This window comes from Homo sapiens, chromosome 1 (genome assembly GCF_000001405.40).
Source record: "Homo sapiens chromosome 1, GRCh38.p14 Primary Assembly".
Lineage (NCBI taxonomy): Eukaryota > Metazoa > Chordata > Mammalia > Primates > Hominidae > Homo > Homo sapiens.
In genome coordinates this window covers 196,846,960-196,873,183 of record NC_000001.11, presented here as the reverse complement: position 1 = coordinate 196,873,183, position 26,224 = coordinate 196,846,960, and the positions used below count along the sequence as shown (strand labels likewise).

Sequence of the window (26,224 nt, the reverse complement as noted above, 5' to 3'; positions counted from 1 at the left end):
TTTTCAGTTTTCTCAGTAGACTTCAGTCTCCAGGCTGTATGAGGATTCCAGATTATGCTGAGGGCCTGGAATATATGGTGTCCTAGGCTACAAAAGTTGCACTATAGTCACACTGGATGAAGACAGGCCATCTAAACCTGAGGGTAATCTTCTCTAACAAGTCTTTTATAACCTCATACATTCTCTTGGTCTTGCAGGGGAATGCTTTCATTTATCTTGAAAATGTATCTACAAATATCAGCAAGTATTTAAAATTTCCTGCTACCCTTGGCATCACGTTAAAATCAATTTGCCAGTCCTCTATTTGCCCTGCACCTCTTGCTTGAATCCCTGGAACTGGGGGTGGAGGACCAGTCTTAAGATTGTTCTGGGCACAAAGTAGGTATTTTAGAATTATTTGTTGGATAGCCTTCTTTAAGTGTGTCCCAAAGACGTAGTCCTGGATCAATTGAAGGGTGGCATGCCTGTCATACTGCGTGGTATCATGTATGTGTTTGATGATATCTGTGGTAAGATACTTGGGTACAAGAACCTTTTCTTCTGTGTTACATATCTACTCATTTTGGGTTCTTTGATTGGAGTCAAAGCCTCAATCAAGTGCTTTTAGATCTTCTTCCAAATAGGTATAGATTTTAGGCTGAAGTTTATTTCAGGGATTAATGGCATTAGCAAGGCTTTGGGTACTTTTTCTCTGGTCATCCCTTTAGTGGCCTGGTCTGCCTAGTGATTTTTTTCTTGCTACCAAATTGTCCATCCACTGATGTCCAGGGTGGTGTAGTATAGCTACTTTCTTGGGTACCAAGACTGTCTTTAGTCAGGCTAAGATTCTTTAGCATGCTTAATCATTTTTTTTTAATCACCAAAGGTTAAGAATCCCCTTTCTTTCCAGTAGCCCCATAAGCATGGACAACAATAAAAGCATACCTGGAATAAGAGTAAATGGTGACTCAGGAGTCTTTACATAGTTGGGATGCCCTGTTTAGGACTCTAAGTTCTGCCTTTTGTGCTGATGAACCCAGAGTGAGTGTCTCTGCATCTAGGATCTGTCACAGGGTTACCATAGCATACTCAGCCTTCTGTTGTCTGTGGTTCATAAAGCTGCTTTCCTCAGTGAATATTTCTAAGTCCAGGTTTTTAAAGGGAATTTTGGTCAAGTCTGGTTGAATAGAATAAACTTGCTCAATACTTTATAAGCAATCATGTATAGATTTAGTTAGCAGGATTTAGAGTAGAAACAGCTCTCAGAGTAACACTGGGATTATGCAGGGAGATGGCCTGATATCTATTCAGTCTTCTAGAATTAAGTCAGTAGATCCACTTCTGCTCTGACAAAGAGCATACATAGTGTGGGGTGTGTACTGTGCTAGGTTAACCCAAAGTGAACTCTTCTGCCTCCTGGAGAAGATCACAAGTGGTACCAATGGCTCAGAGGCAAGAAGTCCAACCCAGTTTTGGACAATGTCCAGCTGTTTTGAAAAGTAGGCTACAGGCCTCATGATATTCCCCAAGTCTTGGGTTAGTACTCCTAAACTCACCCCTTCTCTCTCATATATGAACAAATTAAATGGCTTTCTTAGTTCAGGGGGTACCAGTAGCCAGAGCCATTAACAATTTTTATTTAATGGTTAGAAAGGCCTTTTGACATTCCTTGGTCCATTCCAGAAGTCAACTGTCTGGTCTTAGGGCTTTATAGGGAGATTTTGCTATAAGCCCAAAATAAGAAAATCAAATAAGGCAACATCCAGCCATACCTAAAAACCCCTCACAGCTGCTGCCATGTCCTGAGTCTGGCCACCCTGACAAGAGCTTCTCTGCAGTCCGAAAGCAGATTGCTCTGCTCCTGAGAAAGTTCAAATCCAAGATATGTAACTGAGGGTTTCAAGATTTGTGCCTTTTTCTTGGATACCTTGGATCCCAATTCAGACAAGAAATGTAAAGTCAGTATAGTATTCTGGTCAGTTTGCCTTAGTTTTGGGGGCTATGGATATGTCATCAACATAAATAAACAAAGTCCCATTTTTCAATCGAAGGTCCCAAACTCTTTAGCACGTATTTCCTCCCAACCAATTAGTGAGTTTTTGAAGCCTTGAGGAAGCATTGTCCAGCAATACTGTTGGTTTGCTTTAGTGTCAGTGTCTTCATATTCAAAGGCAAACACTTCATGGGACTCTGGACTCAGAGGAATACAAATGAAGGCATCTTTCAAATCCAAGACTGAACACCAGTACAACTCACTGGTTAAAGTCATGAATAATGTATAAGCATCGGGTACCACCAGATAAATGACTTTGAAAATTTGGCTAGTAGCCCTCAAATCCTGTATGAATCAATATTCCTGAGTAGATATGTAACACAGAAGAAAAGGTTCTGGTACCCAAGTATCTCACGACAGATATCATCAAACACGTACATGATACCACACAGTATGGCAGGCATGCCACCCTTCAATTGACCCAGGACTGTGTCTTTAGGACATTACATGGGGAATGATGAAGTCTTCCTGTATTGCAGGAAGGCCATTAGCAGAGGCTAAATGCATTGCTGTGCCTTTTCTCTCAAAGGATACTGTTTTAGATTTGGCAGCGCTACTCCTGCACAAAACTTGACTTGTACTGGAGATGCAGTTTTTGTTTTCCCTGGCCTTCCATTTCCCATGCTCCCGGACTAACATTTTGGAGTATCTCTTCAGGGATGAGGGCACTTTCAAGGACTTCCAGTTGTAATAATGTGGCCTGCAGAGCACATGCTTGGTCTGAAGGCACCTGGATGTCCAATCATCTCAGAGAAAAAGTAATCTTAACATTTAGTTTGGTTAAGAGGACTTGCCCCAACAAAGGGATGGGACATTCACACATGTATAGAAAAACTGCTTTAAATTACCTTACTCTAGCTGAGAATCCAAAATTGGGAGGAATGATCTCATCAGTATTTTTCCTGAGATTTCAGTCACCTTCATAGTTTCTGAGGAAAGTTTAGACAACCAGATATTTAACACCAAATAGGTGGCACCATGTCTACTAGGAAGTCCAGAAGCTGATTTCTCACCATCATCAGGATCTCAAGCCCCATGTGGGAAATATGGAGGGTGTTGTTTGAGTCAGGATAAGCCCCTGGGTGCCATCATTTCTGGTCTTTTTCTTCAGTATCTCTCTCAAGCTCCCCAGCTATCCCAGGCATTTGGTGGGCAGAAGACTGACTGTGTTTAACATCAGGCTTTGTAAGGCATGGGCAATTTTCCTTTCAGTGTCCCCCCTGTTGCAGTAAGCACACTGCTTGGGACCTGCAATGGGATGTCCCTTTTTTTTGGCTTTTGGGGGCCCAGGTGGTCCTACCTTAGATGGAGCATCTGATGAGGGCCCTTGTTGTGGTCCAGGGACTACTAGGGTCAGAGCCACAGCTAACAAGTCAGCTTTTCTCTTCATTATTCCTTGTGTTTTTATTTTTCACTTTTTAAAATTGTGATCAGTAAATACATTAAAAACAATCTTCACTAATTGAGACATAAACATGTCCAAAGCCTCATCTACATTTTGTAACTTTCCCTGCATAGCTGGGGCACTTTGTTGGATAAACATCGTATTAGCTAACTTTAAATTTTCTGAGGCTTCTGAGTCAATATCCATTTATTGTCTGAAAGCTTCAAAGACTTGTTCTAAAAATTCCAAAGGCACACTCATTAGGCTTCTGCTTGATCTCCTGGACCTTACTGAGGCCGCTTTCCTTGGGCACTCCCTTGCAGAGGCTGGCCAAAATGCAGTTTTGATAGTGTTCGAGGTTAGATCTATCTCCAGTGTTTATATTCCATCCCAGGACAGAGGTGGGAACTGCAATCTGAGCAGCTGCCCTTACTGGATTACTGGGAGAGTCAGTGTGAATAAGATCAGCCTTTTCCTTAGCTTTTTCTAAAACCATTCTTTGCTTCTCTGAACTCAACAAAATATTGAGCAAATTTTAGGTATCTGCTCAGGTAGGATTGTGGGTGGCAAATACAGAGGAGAATAGATTCTCCATATGCTTTGGATTTTTTTTTTATCCTTTTTCTTCCATAAACTTTAGATCTTCTCAATAAATAGGCATATTATTTTTCTAATTAAATAGGTGGGTAGTGGAGAACAGAGAATAAACCCACATAAATCCTATAGGCTGGGCTGTGGCAGCATCACCTCCTATAGGTAGTTGTTATAGGGGAAACTGCCTTTCAGAGCCAGAGTGAAATCCTGGCTAAATTGAGTCCCCTGTTAGGTATAAGTGATACCCTAGCTAAAAGGAGTCACCTGTTGGGTAGAAGAAGCAGAGATAAAGGCCGGGCACGGTGGCTCACGCTTGTAATCCCAGCACTTTGGGAGGCCAAGGGGGGGGGTGGTTCACCTGAGGTCAGGAGTTCGAGACCAGGCTCGCCAGTATGGTGAAACCCCATCTCTACTAAAAATACAAAAATGAGCTGGGCTTGGTGGCACGTGTCTGTAGTCCCAGCTGCTCAGGAAGCTGAGGTAGGAGAATCTCTTGAACACAGGCAGTTGAGGTTGTAGTGAGCAAGATCGTGCCACTGCACTCCAGCCTGGGCGACAGAGCAAGACTCCATAAAAAAAAAAAAAAATTCCTGTTGCTCTGGGTTTGTGACTTTTTGGTGGTGGGGACTCTGGCTTAGGTGCCAGTAGTGCTACTGCAGCTCCTCCATAAGTTCTTTCTCTTGTAAATCAATCCAAACAGGTTTTAATTTCTTGCTAATTCATAATTTTTCCGTTTTTTCTACATTGATCTACTTTACCAAAGCAACATAAAACATTATACATAAGGGATTTTATCCCATTTCTCTTCCTTCATACATAACAAATCTAGCTACAGGATGGTACTGTAAGTATGAGAACCATGCAGTGGCCACTGTTCTCCCAAACCCCATGGGTATTGAGGTCAAGCCATGTTAAAAAATAAGATAATCTTGTTTTGCTTTATGGAATGATAGACAAAGGCTTTTCAATTTTGGAAGATGCAGCCCATCAAAATTACAGTGTGGGTTACATGGGGAGAACTAAAGGACAGCCATTAGTTCATCAGAACTACTAAGCAGCTGCTAGTGCTTGTCTCTGGGTCTGCTCCAGTGGCAAGGGGGCACTAGGCTGTGAGTAAATGCCCTCAAGGAGAGTAACCTCGACCTGGCTTGCCACAAATAGTTACAAGACTGTCAGATTTGTATGCCTGCAGCACAGCAACAGAACAATACACTGAGACAGTGGGATTTGCAGCAGAGAAAGAGTAATAATCTCAAAGCCACCAGCCCTCACTGGGCTGCAGGGAGGAACTGAATTAACATTTCACATTCTGGCTGGAATTATATACATGTAACCAAACACAGATACTAGTCACCGTACTCAGAACCCAAGTATTGACCTGGCAAGGCTCAAACTTGGTTCCATTAGCCCTCATCATATTTGATCTACTCAAGTTGGAGAGGGATGACCTTCAGTCAGGAGTTCAGTGGGTGGACTCTGGGAAGGATTGAAGAGCAGACGGTTACCCTGAGTTAGACTTGCTGAGATTCCACTAGCAACTCCTTCAGGACTAAGTGAATATAAATGACCAGACAAACAAGAAGAGTTTCCTGAGTTAGTAATTTCTTCCACTAGTAATTTCTTCAGAGAACACCTCCACAAACATAAATACCTATAACAAGACAAACACAAACAAAAGACCTTTAAATATAAAGTTTCAGATTCCAAAATCCAAGAGCATTTCTCCCAAGCAATGCCCTCTAGTCTCCTTCCATCTGAGGGGAGGTCTCCTCAAATAAGGCCCTACCTATGACTTAGGGAGGATCAACAAGACCTCAAAATAGGTCACAAGGCCTCTAAGATGAAAAAACAAAAACAAACAACAACAACAACAAAAAAAAAACAGAAGGAAATGGGGTGCCAGCTGCTCTGAGAAAACTCACCTGAGACTTCTTCTGAGACCACAAATGGTTTCTCTGCTGCAGACAAGTTTATGTGCTGAAAGTCAGCACTGCCCTGCCAACACAGAAGGCCCCAGCAAAGGCCCTTAGTTCATCATAGCTAAGCAGCTGCCTGGGCTTGTCTGTGGGTCAGCCCCAGTGGCATGGGGGGCACTGGACTGTAGATAAATAACCACAAGGAGAGTGACTTGCCATGATTTTTATTTATTTATTTATTTTTTGAGCCGGAGTCTCACTCTGTCTCCCTGGCTGGAGTGCAGTGGCACGATCTCAACTCACTGCAACCTCCGCCTCCCAGGTTCAAGTAATTCTCCAGCCTCAGCCTCCTGAGAAGCTGGGATTACAGGCATATGCCATCATGCCTAGATACATTTTTGTATTTCTAGTAGAGACAGGGTTTCACCATGTTAGCCAGGCTGGTCTTGAATTCCTGACCTCAAGTGATCTGCCCGCCTTGGCCTTCCACAGTGCTGGGATTATAGGTGTGAGCCACCATACCTGGCCACTTGCCATGAATTTTTACAAGACTGTCAGGTTTCTATGCCGGCTGCACAGCTACAGAACAATACACCGAGACTGTGGGGTTTGCAACAGAGAAAGAACTTACTAATTGCAAGGTCACCAAGCAAGGACTTGGGAAGAATTCTCAAAACTCAAACCCATTTCATTAAGGGTTTCTGGGCAAGAGTCTTTGAAGGGTGAGGGGCTGGAAATTGAGGTCATCAATTGATTCAGGTCAGGGACTGAAATCATCAGGATATGGAAACTACAGTCCTCCCTAAGTGAGTTTCTTGCCAAGACTTTCAGAATGGCTGGCATCAGTAGTTTTGTTAGTATGCAGAACCTAAAGGAGAAACTCAAATGGCAAGATTGTCATCGCGTAGTGTCTTACATTTTATCTAAAGAACAGAAAAGGAACAAAGATTCTAGTGACAAAGATTATGTTATCCTGTACTAGTAATCAGTGACAAGCTATAAGGAAATGGGCCAGTGGGAAAGCTAGCCTAATGACTACCATGGATTGTCCAACAAGCCTAATTGAATTTCACTTTTTCCTCTTTAACTGTTTTTACAAGATTTTCTTGAAGATGTTTCCAATTTAATAGTGGAGCAAAGGCAATTCAATAAAGAAAACACAATCCTTTAAACAAGGGATACTGGAATAGTAAGGCATCCAAATGCAAAATAAAAACCCTCAACATATTTCTCATACCTCATACAAAAATTAACTCAAAACGATCATATAACTATGTGTAAAATGTTAACTTCTAGAACTGTACATGGCCTTGGTTTAGGCCAAGGAAATTTTAGATGGTACAAAGAGCATAATCCATAAATGAAATATTTGATATACTGGATAACATCAAAATTAAATGCATTTGCTCATTGAAAGAGACTGCTAAGAGAAATAAAAGTAAAGCTAGAGATGCAAGAAAAATATTTCTAAAATATTTACTCAGTGAAGGACTTGTAGCCACAATATATTAAGTTGTCTCAAAATTCAGTAAAGAATCAAACAACCCAATGAAAAATGGGCAAAAAATTTGGACTAAAGGAGGTACCTCACTAAAGGAGGTACATAGATGGTAAATAAGTACAAAGAAAATGCTCAGCAGCATTAGTCACTAGGGAATGTGATACCATTACACGCATATTAGAATGGATAACTTAATGGAAAAACAACCACTATCTCAAAGGCTGGTGAGGTTGTAGAACAATTGGAACTCGCATACACTGAGTATGTGAAGGTAGAATATATGATCACTCAGGAAAACAGTTTGTCTATTTCTTATAAAAATAAACACACACATTCAGTATGATATTGGCTATGGGTTTGTCATAAATAGCTCTTACTATTTTGAGATATGTTTCATCCATACCTAGTTTATTGAGTGTTTTTAGCATGAAGTGGTGTTGAATTTTATCGAAAGCCTTTTCTGTATCTATTGAGATAATCATGTGGTTTTGTCATGGGTTTGATTTATGCGGTGGATTACATTTATTGATTTGCATGTTGAACCAGTTTGCATCCCAGGGATAAAGCCAGTTTGCATCCCAAGGATGATCGTGGTGGACAAGCTTTTTGATGTGCTGCTGGATTCAGTTTGCCAGTATTTTATTGAGGATTTTCGCATCGATGTTCATCAGGGATATTGGCCTAAAAGTTTCTTTTTCTGTTGTGTCTCTGTCAGGTTTTGGTATCAGGATGATGGTGGCCTCATAAAATAAGGAGGAATCCTTCTTTTTCTATTGTTTGGATTAGTTTCAGAAGGAATGGTACCAGCTCCTCTTTGTACCTCCGATAGAATTTGTCTGTGAATCCATCTGGACCTGGGCTATTTTCGGTTGGTAGGCTATTAATTACTGCTTCAGATTTAGAACTTGTTGTTGGGCTATTCAAGGATTCGACTTCCTCCTGGTTTAGTCTTGGGAGGGTGTATGTGTCCAGGAACTTATCCATTTCTTCCAGATTTTCTAGTTTATTTGTGTAGAGGTGTTTATAATATTCTCTGATGGTAGTTTGTATTTCTGTGGAATCAGTGGTGATATCCTCTTTATCATTTTTTATTGTGTCTATTTGATTCTTCTCTCTTTTTTTCTTTTTTGGTATGGCTAGTGGTCTATCTATTGTGTTAATCTTCAAAAAACCAGCTCCTGGATGCATTGATTTTTGAAGGGTTTTTTGTGTCTCTATCTCCTTCAGGTCTGCACTGTTCTTAGTTACTTCTTATCTTCTGCTAGCTTTTGAATTTGTTTGCTCTTGCTTCTCTAGTTCTTTTAATTGTGATGTTAGGGGTCGATTTTCGAACGTTCCAACTTTCTGATGTGGCATTTAGTGCTGTAAATTGCTCTCTAAACACTGCTTTTGCTGTGTCCCAGAGATTCAGGTATGTTGTGTCTTCCTTCTCACTGGTTTCAAGGAACTTATTTACTTCTGCCTTAATTTTGTTATTTACCCAGTAGTTATTCAGGAGCAGGTTGTTCAGTTTCCATGTAGTTGTGTGGTTTTGAGTAAGTTTCTTAATCCTGTGTTCTAATTTTATTGCACTGTGGTCTGAGAGAAGGTTTGTTATGATTTCCTTTCTTTTGCATTTGCTGAGGAGTTTTTTACTTCCAATTAGGAGGTTGATTTTAGAATAAGTGCTATGTAGTGCTGAGAAGAATGTATATTCTGTTGATTTGGGGTGGAGAGTTCTCTAGATGTCTATTAGGTCCACCTGGTCCAAAGCTGAGTTCAAGTCCTGAATATCCTTGATAATTTTCTGTCTTGCCGATCTGTCTAGTATTGATATAGTATTGGAAATTCTGGCCTGGGCAATCAGGCAAAAGAAAGAAATAAAACGTATTCAAATAGGAAGAAAGGAAGTCAAATTGTCTCTGTTTGCAGATGACATGATTCTACATTTAGAAAACCCGATCGTCTCAGCCCAAAAATTCCTTAAGTTCTTAAGCAACTTCAGCAAAGTCTCAGGATACAAAATCAACGTGCAAAAATCACGAGCATTCCTATACACCAATAATAGACAAACAGAGAGTCAAATCATGAGTGAATTTCCATTCACAATTGTTACAAAGAAAATAAAATACCAAGGAATACAACTTACACAGGATGTGAAGGACCTCTTCAAGGGGGACTACAAACCACTGATCAAGGAAATTAGAGAGGACACAAACAAATGAGAAAACATTCCATCCTCATGGATAGCAAAAATCAATATCGTGAAAATGGCTATACTGCCCAAAGTAATTTATAGATTCAAAGCTATTCCCATCAAGGTATCATTAACTTTCTTCACAGAACTAGAAGGAACTACTTTAAATTTCATATGGAACCAAAAAAGATCCCATATAGCCAAGACAATCCTAAGCAAAAAGCACAAAGCTGAAAACATCATGCTACCTGGCTTCAAACTATACTACAAGGCTACAGTAACTAAAACAACATGGTACTGGTACCAAAACAAATATATAGACCAATGGAACAGAACAGAGGCCTCAGAAATAACACCACACATCTACAACGATCTGAACTTTGACAAACCTGACAAAAACAAGCCATGTTGAAAGGATTCCCTGTTGGATAAATGGTGTTAGGAAAATTGGCTAGCCATATGCAGAAAATTGAAACTGGGCCCCTTCCTTACACCTAATACAAAAATTAACACAAGGTGGTTTTAAGACCTAAAACCATAAAACCCCTAGAAGAAAACCTAGGCAGTACCATTCAGGACATAGGCACAGGCAAAGACTTCATGACTAAAACACCAAAAGCAATTGCTGCACAAGCCAAAATTGACAAATAGGATCTAATTAAACTAAAGAACTTCTGCACAGCACAAAAAGAAAAAAACAAAAAACCATCATCAGAGTGAACAGGCAATCTACAGGATGGGAGAAAATTTTTGCAATCTATCCATCTGACAAAGGGCTAATATCCAGAATCTACAAGGACCTTAAACAGATTTATAAGAAAAAAACAACCCCATCAAAAAGTAGTCAAGGATATGAACAGATAGTTCTCAAAAGAAGACATTTATGCAGCCAACAAATACATGAAAAAGAGCTCATCATCACTGGTCATTAGAGAAATGCAAATCAAAACCACAATGAGATACCATCTCACACTAGTTAGAATGGTGATTGTAAAAACGTCTGTAAACAACACATGCTGTCGAGGGTGTGGAGAGATAGGAATACTTTTACACTGTCTGTGGGAGTGCAAATTAGTTCAACCATTGTGGAAGACAGAGTGGCAATTCCTCAAGCATCCAGAACCAGAAATACCATTTGACCCACCAATCCCATTACTGAATATATACACAAAGTGTTATAAATCATTCTACTATAAAGATACATGCACGCATGTTTATTGCAGCACTATTTACAACAGCAAAGACTTGGAACCAACCTAAATGCCCATCAATGATAGACTGGATAAAGAAAATGTGGCAAATATACACCATAGAATACCATGCAGCCATAAAAAAGAATGAGTTCACGTCCCTTGCAGGGCATGGATGAAGCTGGAAACCATCATCTTCAGCACACTAACACAGGAACAGAAAGCCAAATGCTGCATGTTCTCACTCATAAGGGGGAGTTGAACAATGAGAACACATGGACACAGGGAGAGGAACATCACACACTGGGGCCTGTTGGGACATGGGAGGCAAGGGGAGAGATAACATTAGGACAAATAGCTAATGCATGTGGAGCTTACAACCTAGATTATGGGTTGATGGGTGCAGCAAACCACTATGGCACATGTATATATACCTATGTAACAAATCTGCAGATTCTGCACATATAAACCAGAACTTAAAGTATAGTAATAAAAAAAGCACACACAGAGACATGCCATTTATCCAACAAAGCCACTCCTAGATATGAAGCCATGAGGAATAAATTTGTGTTTATATAAAAACTGTAGGTGAATATTTTTCTTACCAGCATGATTCACAAATGCCAAAAACTATGCAAATGCCTTTCAACAAGTGAATGGATTAACAGTCTGTGACCTATGATACAATGGAATAATACTTAGCAATAAAAAAAAATATTCTAGGTAGTGTGATGAAATCCTTTGCCATTCAACTCTATCCTGCCCAGGGCATGAATCCTCCCTTTGTCTAGTGTAGACACATTTTATACTTCCCGCCTGTTAGTCACTTAGTAGTCTTCACAGTTATCAGATGGAAAAATGTAGCTTACTTGGGTTTTATAGTATTAACTATTTCAGGCATCTGCTGGGGGGCTTGGAACATACCCCACGTGGATAAGAGGGACTAATGCAGCTTTTGTCTCCCACAGATAAGGACAGACTACTCTAACTTCAGAAGAATCATTCAGAAGGCACCAGTATTTCAAGTTTTACAAGTCCAGAAAAATTGATATTCTGTGATGTATTTGGCAAATGTTTTCTTTAAGTGACTATTTTAAAGGAAACCACAGCCAGTTTGCACTCATGCAGGACACACTCCAATATCTGTCTACTGTACTCGCACAAGTATATTTAAATTTTTCTGCTTATTTTCACAACATGGTTATGAGGAATTTAGATTTTGTTAAATTGAAAAGTACTGTGATTCACTGACAATTGACTGTACATTGAAAATACAATGTTGATATCGCAATCTGAAGATGAAGCTAAGACTTGTTAATTATATGACCACCATAAAGTAGCTAAATAACTTGACTAAAGTACAGGGTCTAGCATGAAGAGTAAAACAGTAACATTCTCAAGAATAACTTGAGCCAGGCACACTTGGGATAGTGAAAGAAATAAAGAAAGGAAAGGAAGGAAGAAAGGAAGAAAATGGAAAGAAAAGAAAAAAAAGAAAGAAAGGAATGAAGGAAGGAAGGAAAGACAGAAAGAAAGACAGAAAGAAAGAAAAGAAAGGAAAGAAAGGAAAAGAAAGAAAGAAAGAAAGAAAAAGAAAGAAAGAAAATAAGTAGTTGATTCTTCAAACAACTCCAAATCCAAAACAAGAGGCATAAACCTTGATTGAGTTGTTTGATACCAGGAGAAATTGCATATTCAATCAAAGCATATTATTAGCCAGAAGAAAGAAAAAAGAAAGGAAGGAAGGAGAAAGAAAGAAAGAAAGAAGGAAAGAAAGGAAAAAAAGAAAGAAAGAAAGAAGAAAGAGAAAGAAAGAAAAGAACGGAAAGGAAAGGAAAGGGGAAAAAAGTAGTTCACTCTTAACAGCAGAAAGAAAGAAAGAGAAAAAACAAAAGAAAGAGAAAGAAAGGAAAGAAAGGAAGAGAAAAAAGAGAACAAAAAGGAAGAAAGAAAAAAAAAGAGAGAGGAAGAGAAAGAAAGAAAGAAAAAGAAGGAAAGAAAGAGAGAAGGAAGGAAAGAAGGAAGGAAAGAAAGGAAGGAAGGAAGGAAAGAAAGAAAGAAAGAAAGAAAGAGAAAGAAAGAAAGAAAGAAAGAAAGAAAGAAAGAAAGAAAGAAAGAAAGAAAGAAAAAGAAGAGGGAAGGGGAGGGGAGGGGACACACTGTGAAAGAGAAAAAGAAGATGGGAGGGGAGGGGAGGGGACAAAATATACAATATAGCATATACTGTATGAGAAAGGTACTATAAAAATTGTTAGGGAAATGTTGAGTTTGCCATATTTTATTTAAAAATAAAATATAGCTATTATCATGAATAAAATCAACACACAATTTTAAAATATGAAAAAAGGTAGCATGTAAATTTTTACAATAAAAATAGTATAATGGCTCTGTGTTTTTGAAGTATTCCTTTAAATAGAAACAAAAAATATTCATCATAAGAAAAGATTGATGATTATTTAGTAAAACGAGCAACTTATATTCATAATACACAAAAAAGGGAAGAAAAATACTAGCCACAAAAAAGAATGCATTTGGATTACATATAATTAAAAGAGATTTTATATTCAGAATTAGTAAGATGACTCCAACTAATAAATACCAAAACTCCCAAAAAGGTAAGTCAAAAAACCTGCATTTTCAAAGATTAGAACAATCAAATACCAATTAAACTGTGAATATATATTCCAAACCCAATTAGTAATAAAGGAAATGCAAATTTACACTACAATGGTAAAACATTTTATAGCCACTCAATTTGTAAATATTAAAATGTGACATCACCAATCATTAACATGTAAAACACCTAAGAAGGAACTGTTGATATAAATGTATATTGGGATAAATAATATAGGAAACCTTCTAGAGTCGAATATGCACAATATCCCAGAAAATCCATTTGTACTTACATATAATAGAGAAAGTTAGATAACTTTATTGTAAAAGTGACCTATGACTGTTTGAATGTATGAATGACATTATTGGCTATCATTGTACTCACTTTCTATTTTAAACTATAAATGTATAATCATTTTGAGTCAAATGATTGATTCCAAAGTACATATTAATATTGATACACGAGTTAAGAAGAAATTATTTAGGCAGATAATGAGGGTACAGGAGTCCTTGGTAAAGTTTTCCTTTTAATAATAGGAGCCCCCAAATCATTTCTTTTTCTAACAAAGTGGAACCTGTAAAACAGAGATGTAAACATAGACAAGCAAGTTGGAAGCTTGCAAGGTGAATGGCAGCAGTTGTGCCAATAGGAAAAGGCTACCTGGGACTAGGCATGTTCATATGGCAACTCCATCTTCCCTTCTCTTTGCCAGCCACGTGTACAGTAAGGAAAAGGCAACATGGCGCTGGCCAGGCAAAGATCCCATTTGCATAATAAGATTAGGGTGGGGCAGCCAGCTTCCTAGCACATTATGTAAATATCACACCTGGTCCAATCAATCTTTGGGCCCTATGTAAATCAGACACTGCTTCCTCAAGCCTGTTTATAAAATCCAGTGCACCCCAGCCGGGGCCAGAATTCACTTTTGGGTGCCCCTCTCTCTCACAAGAGACAGAGCTGTTCTCCTTTCTCTTTCTTTTGCCTATTAAACCTGCGATCCTACGCCCACTCCTTGTGTGTGTCCATGTCCTTAATCTTCTCAGTGCCAGATGAGAAACCTCGGGTATTTACTCCAGACAATGATGCCATTTCAATATGTCTTAATTTAACCAACAAGTATTGTTTTCAAACTCTTTTACTGTATTCTTGACTAATGCCCAATAATAGGAGCATTTATTTTACTATGAACTTATCAAGAAATGTGTATATTTGTTTATACAGAATTGAAAAAATAAAACTAAATAGGTCCGATGGCGAAGCAAGTTGACATAAATATTTTGCCGCAGTTAATATAGATGAGTCTTAGCATGTCATCTGTGTTACTTAGAAAGACATGAACTTGCTGGGATCTCAGAGTAGTGTACTTAGTGACACGGATGCATCTGCAAGGAGGAGACCAGCCATTCTCCATACATGTAACTGTGGTCTGCTCATTTGGAAGACCACAGCCAGGAAGGAAGGCAACTTCTACAGAGTTACCCTGTACAAACTTTCTTCCGTAATTTTCATTATGTCCATTTTCCAAATAAGGAAAATAACGTTTTCCTAAGGACGATAACAATGATAAATGAATAAAGTAAATGAGACACAAAAATGTGCTCAAAATAGTATATTACAATTATTTTTAAAATATTTAAATAAGATTGCATAAACATCCAAAAACAATGTATAACTGAATATGAACTAAAATTACTAACAAAGGTTTGTACAAAAAGAAATATCAATATTTAATACTACTTAAGTTTTTATAATTAAAATATGTATCAATTATATAGATATTCTCATAAAGTCTCTATATTTATTTCTCGTGATTTTTAAGAACTCATAATAGAAAAGATCTATTTTGGTCATTTTGCTTGAACAACTCTTTTCTTGGCCCTATTTCTGTTATATAAGTCAAGTGTAATCACTTATGTGCTCTCCTCTCTTCAATCTTTGAAAGTTTTATACATATATGGCTGTCCAGAGGTTTACTTACTGAGACATGGTACTGCTGGCGACCACCCATCTTGTGTGCAATAAATGTAATCCTAGTAACTTCCTGAAGGAGTCTCAAAAGATTCATCACAGTAATAGGAGTAAGATTTTCCTACAGCTACTGGAAAGTATGGTCTACACATACTTTCATAATATAGACCTCCATGTTTAATGTCTGGAAAATCACAAGATTTCACTTGCAATAAAAAACAAAAAAAAGTATGAATACTTTTTACTGTAATAAATAATCATATTAGAGATAAATTTTTTTATCACTGAATTATATTCTCTTCTTAGAATAATTACACATTCCATTAGGGTTTCTAGGTCAAAACAAATGATAGAACTCAGATGACTAAGATATGTGACGAGAAGGTCTTTGCTAATGAAGATGAGATTATGTCTTGTGGATCACGTGATGCATAAATTTGTAGGAAGGCTCTCTAGAAGGAAAAATGTACAAACCTATTTAATGTATTCCCCTTGAGTACATATACCCTACCTCTGGCTAATTAAATGAGCTTTTTGGTTGAGAAATATGTCAATTTTATCACTTAGCTCAGGTATTCCTTTTTTTTTTCTTTTCTACTGTCATCAGTAAACAGAGCCCTGTATTTTCTTCTCAGAAAAATTCAATGTAAGGAGGTAGTATTTTGAGGGATTTAAGGTTTTTATTGTTTTGGATTAAATTCATGGGCTGCGCACGGTGGCTCATGCCTATAATCCCAGCTCTTTGGGAGGTTGAGGCAGGCAGATCACTTGAGGTCAGGACTTCGAGACCAGCCTGGCCAACATGATGAAACCCGTTTCTACTAAAAATACAAAAAAAATTAGCTGGGCCTGGTGGTGCGCCCTTGTAATTCCAGCTACTTAGGAGGCAGAGGCAGGAGAATCGCTTGAACCCAGGAGGCAGAGTTTGCAGTGAATTGAGATTGCGCCATTCCACTCCAGTCTGGGTGACAGAGTGAGGCTCCATCTCAAAAAATAAAAATAAAAATAGAAAACAAATAAATTCACTAGGCTCTTTTCTAATTACTGGACAATATAAACATATTGAGGAACACAAAAATTTTTCTTTGATAATACCGCACAGAAAAATAACACAGCTAATTCACGCCTCAAACAAGTCACTGAGCCAAGATTTCCAGTGTTTATTAAACCGCAGAAATAGACTAGGAATATTTCTTAATATCCAAATAGTTAAGATTATGATAAACTTTTTTTGTTGATTCCTAATTTTGTTCATTCCACTTTCCTGTGTGCAAGAGAAACCTGCTTGTGGGCTGAAAGTGACTAGACCACTTTCAGCAGGCACACAGGCACCGTGCTTGCCTTGCAAGGGAGTATAGATCCATCCTAGGAGACAGGTGGCCCCAGTGCTTGGGCACAGATGTAGAGAGGGGGACATCTCCCCTGCACCCAATTCTGTGGACATAGCTGTGGTCACTCGCAAAGGAGACTGGTGCAGACACACCAGAGGACAGACATTCTAGGGGGATTAGCGGTGGCTGCAACCCCAGTGGTGAGGTGCCCAATTGAGCCAGGCTTGCGTGAAAGACAAGGCCCTACCTCCTCTTTACACAGAACAGCAGTGTTCCTGTAGGAGAGAGCAGGAGAGCTGAAATGTGTGTTTTGAGCTGAGGGAGGCGGCTCCACATAGAAGAAATTTGACAGGGAACTGCAAGGCAAACGCATTTCATAGATGTCATCTACGCAGCCTGGAGAAAGAAAGTGGTGACTCTTTAACCTCATTAACTTCTGTCTAACATATTTTTCTTAACAGTGCTTACAAGTGAAGATATCTGAATTGTGTAGTGAAATATATTTTCCAAGGAACTGCTTCTGAGCTCATTAGCAATTAAAACAAAAATAAATTATAAAATCAACTCAAAAGATAACTGCAGTTTTTAAAATAGAGTGTAATAAAAACAAGGTTTGTATGTATAATTTTGAATCATACAACTTAAAACGTGGAGGGCTCAGAAGAGATCAACTCTTCTACCCCCACCCCCGACATATGGCAATATCCGTATAGGTCACACTTTTAGAAAATCACTTGACCTCTGATTCGATGTTGGATAATACTGTTACCTGCTTCACTGACTGTGACAGTCCTCATCAAAAGTTAACTTGCTCCCCTTCATAAATGTTTTCAAATATCTCAAGACAGTCATTATAATGCTATAACTGTATCTTTTTGCATGCTTCTTATGCTATAATTTCTTTAACTCTTCAACTATCTATATATTCTCTTCTATGCCTTGATAGTTGGAAACCAATCATTTTAAAATATGGTAGGCTAAGTACAGTATATTATTACAGGCATGATATTTGGTGGGCAAACCACACAGCTGAAATTAATTTGTCGACACTGAAAAACATCATTTCCTCATGAAGCCTAAAAGAGATAGATGTTCTCCTCAGTACCACCATTGTCTATTAATATTAAGGTTATTAATGAAAATCTTCATTTTCCTCCACTTAATTTACTTTAGAAGCTAAATACAAATGTTGTTTCCACTAGGTAAATCTGCCAACAACAAAAAATTCTTTTTTGACTTGAATGCCGCATGAATGATTTATCTGTTCTTAACAGATAAATAAAAAAGACTTTTTTTTTTTTTTTTTTTTGAGACAGAGTCTTGCTCAGTTGCCCAGGCTGGAGTGCAGTGGCTCGATCTCCGCTCACTGCAAGCTCTGCCTCCTGGATTCACGCAATGCTCCAGCCTTAGCCTCCCGAGTAGCTGGGACTACAGGCACCCGCCACCATGCCCAGCTAATTTTTTTTGTATATTTTTTAGTAGAGACGGGGTTTCACCGTGTTAGCCAGGATCGTCTCAATCTCCTGACCTCGTGATCCGCCCTCCTCAGCCTCCCAAAGTGTCGGGATTACAGGCGTGAGCCACCGCGCCTGGCCCAAAAGACATTTTTGAAGGAAGTTAAAATTTTAATTAAAAACATGTTGCTGATTTCTTTTGCTTTGAAGATTAGTTCTCTTGAGATAAATGGTATAGAGTAATATTCTTTGAATGTATATATGAATTTCAATATAGACATAGGTTTGCTGTAATAGCTATTTTCTCTGAGTCAGCTGTAAAAATATTCCATGCTCTATTTATTCGTAATATAGTAATTATTGACAGAACATTTTTTGGGGGAAATTCATGTCAATCATTCTCATTACCTCTCTCAATAATAACTGAACTTCTGCAATTGTGGTATTCCCTTTCACTCAATTTTTTTCTGTCAAAACAAACAAACAAATAAACACAACAGGCATAAAAAAACCCTGGCAATAACCTTTGATATCATCGTCTCTCAACCAAATTCTTCTGAGATTACAGCAACCGTAACTAGTTTCCTGATCCTGACCTCTCATCTTTATAATCTATTTTCCTGTGTATAAATTAATGACCTTTCATCTGGTCATTTTATTTCTCCACTTAAAATCTTTAATGGAACTCAAGTCAGCTAACAGGACAAGAAGCTCATTTCACTTTCTCTACTTCTACTAACATAGTATGGTCTCTTCAGCAATTCTGGAGGTTTTATCAGCATTAATTTAAACTGAACTTATCTACAACTATACCAAGTTAAGCTCAAGCTGTCAGTTTAGGGTGCACACATCAGCAATGATTGTGTTTTGGAAAAGAGAGACAAGAAATATGACTGTAGCATAAAAAAATCTGAAATGTAGCAAATTATCTCCAGATATAAAACATTTTGTTTAGTTTTGTGGCATTTTGTTTGTATGCGATGGCATGCATTCTTACCATAGTTAGAATTCATGTATCAGATGAGACATATTATTGACATAAAAAATAGGTGCATAGACGAATGTACAAATATATATATATTCTTATATTCTATAGGTATGTATACCTATAGAATGTTGAACAACACCACAATTTAAATAGCATATAATTTATGTTTCTTCTATAATTATGGAACAAGTGATAGAAAATAGTATTTACATTCTATTTGTTATGAGAACTTAAGAATATAACTAAAGAAAAATCTTTAAGTTTGAATCATCATAAATCAGAGAGAACGGGAAGGAAGCTAGTGGCACAACAGCTTTAGTGTGCAGATGAGAAGACTAAGTTCATAGACGTGACATCTTTACTTTGAGGGAAGCGTTTGCTAGTTACAGAACTGGCCCTAGAGGCTTGTTAGGTGACGCATGACAGCTTGTCTGACCCAGCCCCTCAAGCATGGCTGCACAGTTTTCTGCTGTCTCCTCCGTATTGGAAAATCGAAACTTCCGTGCCCTGTGTAACCTCCTGAGATACTTTTACATTTTCTTATGATTGCAGGATATTTAGTCCGAGGAAGAAAGGGACATTAATTAAAGGAAATCATTTAAATCTTTCTTTATTTTTATTTTTAACAGTCTTGCTCTGTTGCCAAGGCTAGAGTGCAGTGGCGCGATCTCAGCTCACTTCAACCTCTGCTTCCTGGGTTCAAATGATACTCCTGCCTCAGTCTCCTGAGAAGCTGGAATTACAGGTGTGTGCCACTACATCCTGCTAATTTTTTGAATTTTTAGTAGAGAAAGCATTTCATCATGTTGGCCAGGTTGGTCTCCAACTCCCGGTCTCAAGTGATCTGCGCGCCTTGGCCCTCCAAAGTGCTGGGATGAAGGTGTGAGCCACCCCACTCGGCCAAATATTATTTTTCTTAGTCAACGATAATTTCAAACCTGAAGTGAGTTTTTCATAGTTTAGGTTTGTTTCTAAAAATCGTTTTTCCCACTAAAAGGCACTGGAATTTCATACAGAAATTATTGAAAGTTAGTCTGTAGTAGCAAAAGTCAAGGAAAGCATGGGACCTTTTGTTATGCCAAAGCTTAATGGGGGCACATGAAATATACACAAAAGCCAGCTTCTTAGTGAGATTTGAAACAAATTTGAGCATCCCAAAGAAGTACAATGGCAATTAACTGTAATGCATTGGGTACTGAAAATGATCAGTTTAAAAGGGATTTAGAAGCAACCCTGCTCTACATTACTAATTGTCACCCTTGACACTTTGTTATGGCAACTCTAGTAGATGAATATAAAGTTTATACAATTCTGAAAGGATATTCATAATTAAAAATAATGCTCTTGACAACCTATCTTTAAATAAGTATAAATAACTTATGACTTAATGGAAGAAATAATGGCCAATACAAATTCAATGAACATTATAATAGGTTACAATTACAAATTTTCTGTCGAGTTTGTCTTTCAAATAGTGTGGTTTCCAAAAGAATTGGTGTGCCGATTTTAATGTTCAGAACTGAAATATCAACTACCATTAAAAAAATTTTATTAGCATAAGCAATTCACAAAGTATGTCCTTCATTAATGATATGAAAAATCTTTCTTAGATTTGATTTACTAGATTCTGAATATAGATGAATACAGATATATATACACATAAAGTATTCAACAAGACAAAAATCAGCAGGAAAATACACCCAAGATATAATTACCAAATTCTGATGAATAGCCTCTAAAATCTGTGTGGTGGCTACATATATATATATATACTCTTGAGTAAAAAGTAAAAAGTTATTTTTAGTTATTAATGTTCTTTTAATAAATTGTGTAAATATCATGGTATTCATCTGCTAGAGCTACCATAACAAAGTACCACTGATTTCATAGAAATTTATTTTCTCACAGTTCTGGAGGCTAATAGTTTGAGATAGAGCTGTCAACAGGATTGGATTCTTCTGAGACCTCTTCCTTTGCCTTGTAAATGGTTGTATCCTTTCTATGCCTTGCGTGATCTTTCTCTATATGGTGTGTTCTTATTTTCTCTTCTTATATAGACACCAGTTATATTGGAGTAGGACCCACCTGAACCATTGACCTTTAACTTAATTACATCTTTAAGCACTCCTTCTCCAAATGCAGTCACATTCTCAGGTATTGGGAATTTGGACTTTAACAAATGAATTTTGGCGGGATGCAGTTGAGCCAATGCTACTGAATACACAAAGATGTTTCTCTCTAACCAAGACGTTGAAGGTAACCCAATGAGTTACTTTCTCCTTTGAGAAATATAGGTGCGACCTAAATTTACAAGACATTTTGCTCAAGTTTACTCTTACAAAAAGTTCATTGGAGGAGAAAAGTTTTCAACTGGAATATCAGATAAGGAAGAATTTGTCATCATTCTTTTTTTATAGTGCTTTTAAGAAAGTAAGTAAGAAAGTATAGTGCATATGCTTCTCTAATTCCAGTCATTTCAAAATGGTACTACTTTTCTTCTTTTCATTCTATTTTAATCTATTTAATCTTTATTTGAAAAAAATGTACCTGTATCAGTTCAGTTAACAAAGGAAATAACAGGAGAATTTCCTTTTCTTTCCATTTTGGCACAGATCAAGTTTGATTTTGCACAACAAATAAAACTAGCAAATCGTGATAGATAATACTGTAAAACCTAAAGCTCTTTACCTAGAATCAAATAAAGTGGCATAGCTTTGAGAAGAGAGGCTGAGGGAAAAGATACTCTCATAAATTGATAATTGGATTTCCAGTATTACCCTCCACTACATTTGTTGAAATATTATGAAGTTTCGGATAATTACAAAATTTATATTCTTCATTAATGGCCACAAACCCTTGATTGTCCATGATTTTTGACTCATGTGGTTCCACTGCTAATGTTACGATATAGTTCTTTAATATGCAAGGCCTGCATTCAAAAAGATAGTTAATATAGAAAATATATGACTGTTGAGGAGAAAACAAATCAGTGAACAATAACATAAAGCTATAAAAAATAATTATTTATGTATTTATTTATTGAACATTTGCTAGTGAGCTCAGAAATGCAAAATTTACTGTCATTTAAAAGTAAGTTAAGCATATAGTCTACTTTTTGATTATATTCATGTTGTGATTTACATGTTGTGATTTACATGTTGCTAATCTTGTTGAAATATTAAGTTCATATTAATGTTAATTCATTTTAGCAGCTTTCTTAAGGTATTATAGAAATAAAAGAAACTGCAGAATTTAAAATGTATTATTTGATGTTTTGGTATATGAATCTATAAAAAATCACCATCTGTAAGATTATGAAAATATCAGTCACTCCCCTTGCATTACAAATAAGAAACTTCTGAACATTTTAAGGTTAGAATCTGTCTAGTGACATGTTTCCTACTTAAAGTTTCATGAGTATATTCACATATCTCCATAATCAATATTAAATGTCTTTTACACTGTAGAACTTATGAAACAAAGAGAATATTATTCATTGTTTAAGTTAAAATGAGATAATATTTCATAAAATTAATTTCTGTTATAGTCTTACAAAATATGCTATTTCTACTAGCATAATGAATAAATCCTCTTTGGTTCATAAAAAATTGTAGACATGGAGACATAGGAAGCTAGATATTACATGAAGTTACATTTAAGATGGGAGCTGAGTGTTTAGATCTCTTTCAATTTACCTTGTCCATTAGCATAGGAAACCCACAAGGTGAGAATGACATTAATTAGTAACAACATGTTAGATATTCTCAGTAGTATAGTAATGCAAAAGTTTCAGTTGTACTGTTTGGAGTTTGAAATCTTTCATTGTTAGTTACCAAGGGTGATTCCGAATTTGAGGAAACTACCACGAAGCTAGGCCTTTAAGGTCACTTAGTAAATATCAAAGTTCAGAGAGTTTTGCAAAATGCTTCAATAATTCCAGTTAGTGGTTTCACAACCATCTGTGGAATTGATTCCCTGAAATGTACTTGTAAAATATTATTTAGGGACAGTAATGGACTGAATCCAAAAGTAATATAAAACATTAATTTATTTTATTTCTCATTTTTTGAGTAAAGAGAGTATCAATAAAGGGAACGAAAGGCTTCCACAACTATTGGAAGAACTGAGGGAACAAAGGTCAAAAATGCTATTTCCAGAAAATTCCGAAGTTCAGGAATCTTAGTGATGCCCCACTAATTATCCATTGTACTGCAGTGGATGTTTTTTAGGAAAACTTCCAGAAGCAAGGAAAGCTACTGTTGGTGATCTCAGCTGCTACCAGCAGCTGCTACCAGATAATGCCTTGTCTTTCACTTGGTCCAAGTTTTCTTTAGGTACATCTCATGGGGGAATCTAAGGGAGAAGCAAGCTAAAATACAAATACAGCTACAAATACAAATACAAGCTAAAAATAAAATAGCTTGTAAAATACAAATACAAATTAAAATAAAAATTCCTAATACAGATCGTATTAGGAATAAATAGAAAATCAAAACAAACAAATAATGAGTAAGTTGATTAAATCAGTAATAAAATTCACCTATCAAAAAAGCCCAACGCCTGTTATCTTCACTGCTGAATTCAACCAAACAGTATAAAAAACTGGTAGTACTGTTTTTCAAACTATGCATAAAATAAAGATGGGTAGACATACACAAACCAATAGATGTAACATATCACAATAACAGAATGAACAAAACTATATGATCATTTTCATAGAAGTACTAAAAACATTTGAGAAACTTTGACATTTCTTCATGATAAAGAGTTTCCACAAATTAGGCAGAGCAGAGCCAGATGGTGGAATAGGAGACACCAACCATTCCCCTTCAAAGATACTAAGTTAACAACTATGTACACAGAAAAAAAAAAAAAAAACACCTTCATAAAATGAAAACATTATCAGATTAGCACTCATAGTACATGGTTTTAACTTCATATCCCTGAAAGTGGCACGTAAGAGATAGGTCAGACAATCTTGAATCACTGACACTACCCTTTCCCCTCTCCCCACACTTGCAGCTGTGCCATGGTGTACAGAGCCTTGCTCTAGGCACTGAGGGAGGGAGAACATAGCAATTGTGAGGCATTGAACAAAATGCTGTGCTGTTAGAGCAGAAAGGAAAACCAAACCAAACTCAGCTAACCCCTTCCCATGGAGGGAGTACTTAAACCAATGCTAGCCATGATGGTATTGCTGACCGCAGGGGTCTGAAATCAAGTTCCCACAAATCTTGCCACCTAGGGCTACCTACCATGCATTGTGTCTCTAAATAAACTAGAAAGACAGTCTAGGACATAAGGACTGCACACGTATGTGAGTCCTAGTGCTGAACTAGGCTCAGAGACTATGGACTGGGGGAAGACACAGAATATTCAGAGACACCAACTGCACCAGCTGAGGCAGCCAAGAGCGTGCTGGCATCACCCAACCCCTAACCCCAGGCTTCACATTTCACAGCTCCAAAAGAAACCCCTTCCTTCTGCTTGAGGAGAGGAGAGGGAAGAACGGGGAAGACTTTGTCTTACATCTTGGATATCAGCTCAGACAAAGCAGGATAGGGCAACTGTCAAAGGAATGAGGCCCCTGCTTTAAGCCCTAGCTCCCAGATGACATTTCTTGACATACCCTGAACCAAAAGGGAACCCAATGCCCTGAAGGAAATGATGCAGTCCTGGCAGCATTCACCCAGCCTAACTGAAGAGCCCTTGGCCCTCAATAACCTGCAGTGATACCCAGATACTATGTTGAGGGCCTTAGGTGAGCCTCTGAGACTTGCTGGCTTCAGGTACCAGCATGGCCACAGTGGGTAGAGAACCACCTGGGCTCCCAGGGTCCCCAGTTCCTGGACTTGACTGGTGGGTGGCATTTTTGGACATACCGTGGACCAGATGGGAGCCCAGTTCCCAGAAGGGTGAATCCTAGGCTAGCCAGCATTCACCACAAACTGACTTAGGAGCACCTAAACCTTAAGGGAACATCAGCAGTTGTCTGGCAGTACTCCTCATGGCCTGGAGTGGTGTTAGACCATAGGGTGAGGCTCCTCTGACTTTGGAAAGGGGAGGGAACAGTGAGGAGGATTTTTTTTTATTATTATACTTTAAGGTTTAGGGTACATGTGCACAACGTGCAGGTTAGTTACCTATGTATACATGTGCCATGTTGGTGTGCTGAACCCAGTAACTCGTCATTTAACATTAGGTATATCTCCAAATGCTATCCCTCCCCCATCCCCCCACCCCACCCCACAACATTTTAACTTGCAATATGACTGCCAGCCCAGATACAGTACCATATAACATCAAGCAGACATCTAAGGTTTTTGAAACTGGTCCCCTGGAAACCACCCTGGTCCAGGGGCCCTCATCACCCTGAATTCTCTCAGATCATGTGCAAGACCATCAATACAGTACCCCTAGAAGTCTGCAAGAACCACTGCATTGCTGGGATTTTGACACCCTGTAAAGAAGTTACAGCTTAGGTCACAACACCCAAGTCCTTTCAAACATGTGGAACATCTTGCCAAGAAGGATGGTTACAATTAAGCCCAGACAGTGAAGAAAACAATAAATACCTAACTCTTCAGTGCCCAGACACAGAAGAATATCTGCTAGCATTAACGCCATCCAGGAAAACCCGACCTCACCAAATGAACTAAACAAAGCACCAGGGAACAATCCTAGAGAAACTGAGTTATGTCACCTTTCAAACAACGAATTCAAAATAGTTTTGTTGAAGAAACTCAAAGAAAATCAAGATAACACAGAGAAGGAATTCTGAACTCTATCAGATAAATTGAACAAAGAGATTGAAATAATTTTAAAAAATCAAGCAGAGATTCTGGAGCCGAAACATGCAATTGACATACTGAAGAAGATATTACATGTGCTATTCTTTAATAGCAGAATAGATCAAGCAGAAGAAAGAATTGTTGAGCTTGAAGACAAGCTATGTGAAAATACACAGTCAGAGGAGACAAAAAAATAAAGAATTAAAAACAATGAAGTATGCCTACAGGATCTAAAAAATAACCTCCAAAAAGCAAATCTGAGAGTATTCACCTTAAGGAAGAAGT

At 37.8% G+C, this 26,224-nt stretch overlaps 1 pseudogene, besides 1 other annotated feature; it reads right to left on the bottom strand.

The window, feature by feature from the left end:
* Positions 1–22,979, bottom strand: part of LOC100996886 (complement factor H-related protein 3-like) — a 34,873-nt pseudogene extending 11,894 nt beyond the window's left edge.
* Positions 13,662–14,861: an enhancer, noted in NCBI's record as "CDK7 strongly-dependent group 2 enhancer chr1:196827453-196828652 (GRCh37/hg19 assembly coordinates)". NCBI's record gives its function as "activates an origin of replication core promoter dependent on BRD2, BRD4, P300/CBP, MED14 and CDK7 cofactors, with strong dependence on CDK7, by STARR-seq in HCT116 cells {active_cell/tissue: HCT116}" and the evidence as "EXISTENCE:reporter gene assay evidence [ECO:0000049][PMID:35650434]".
* Positions 22,980–26,224: the final 3,245 nt, after the last annotated feature.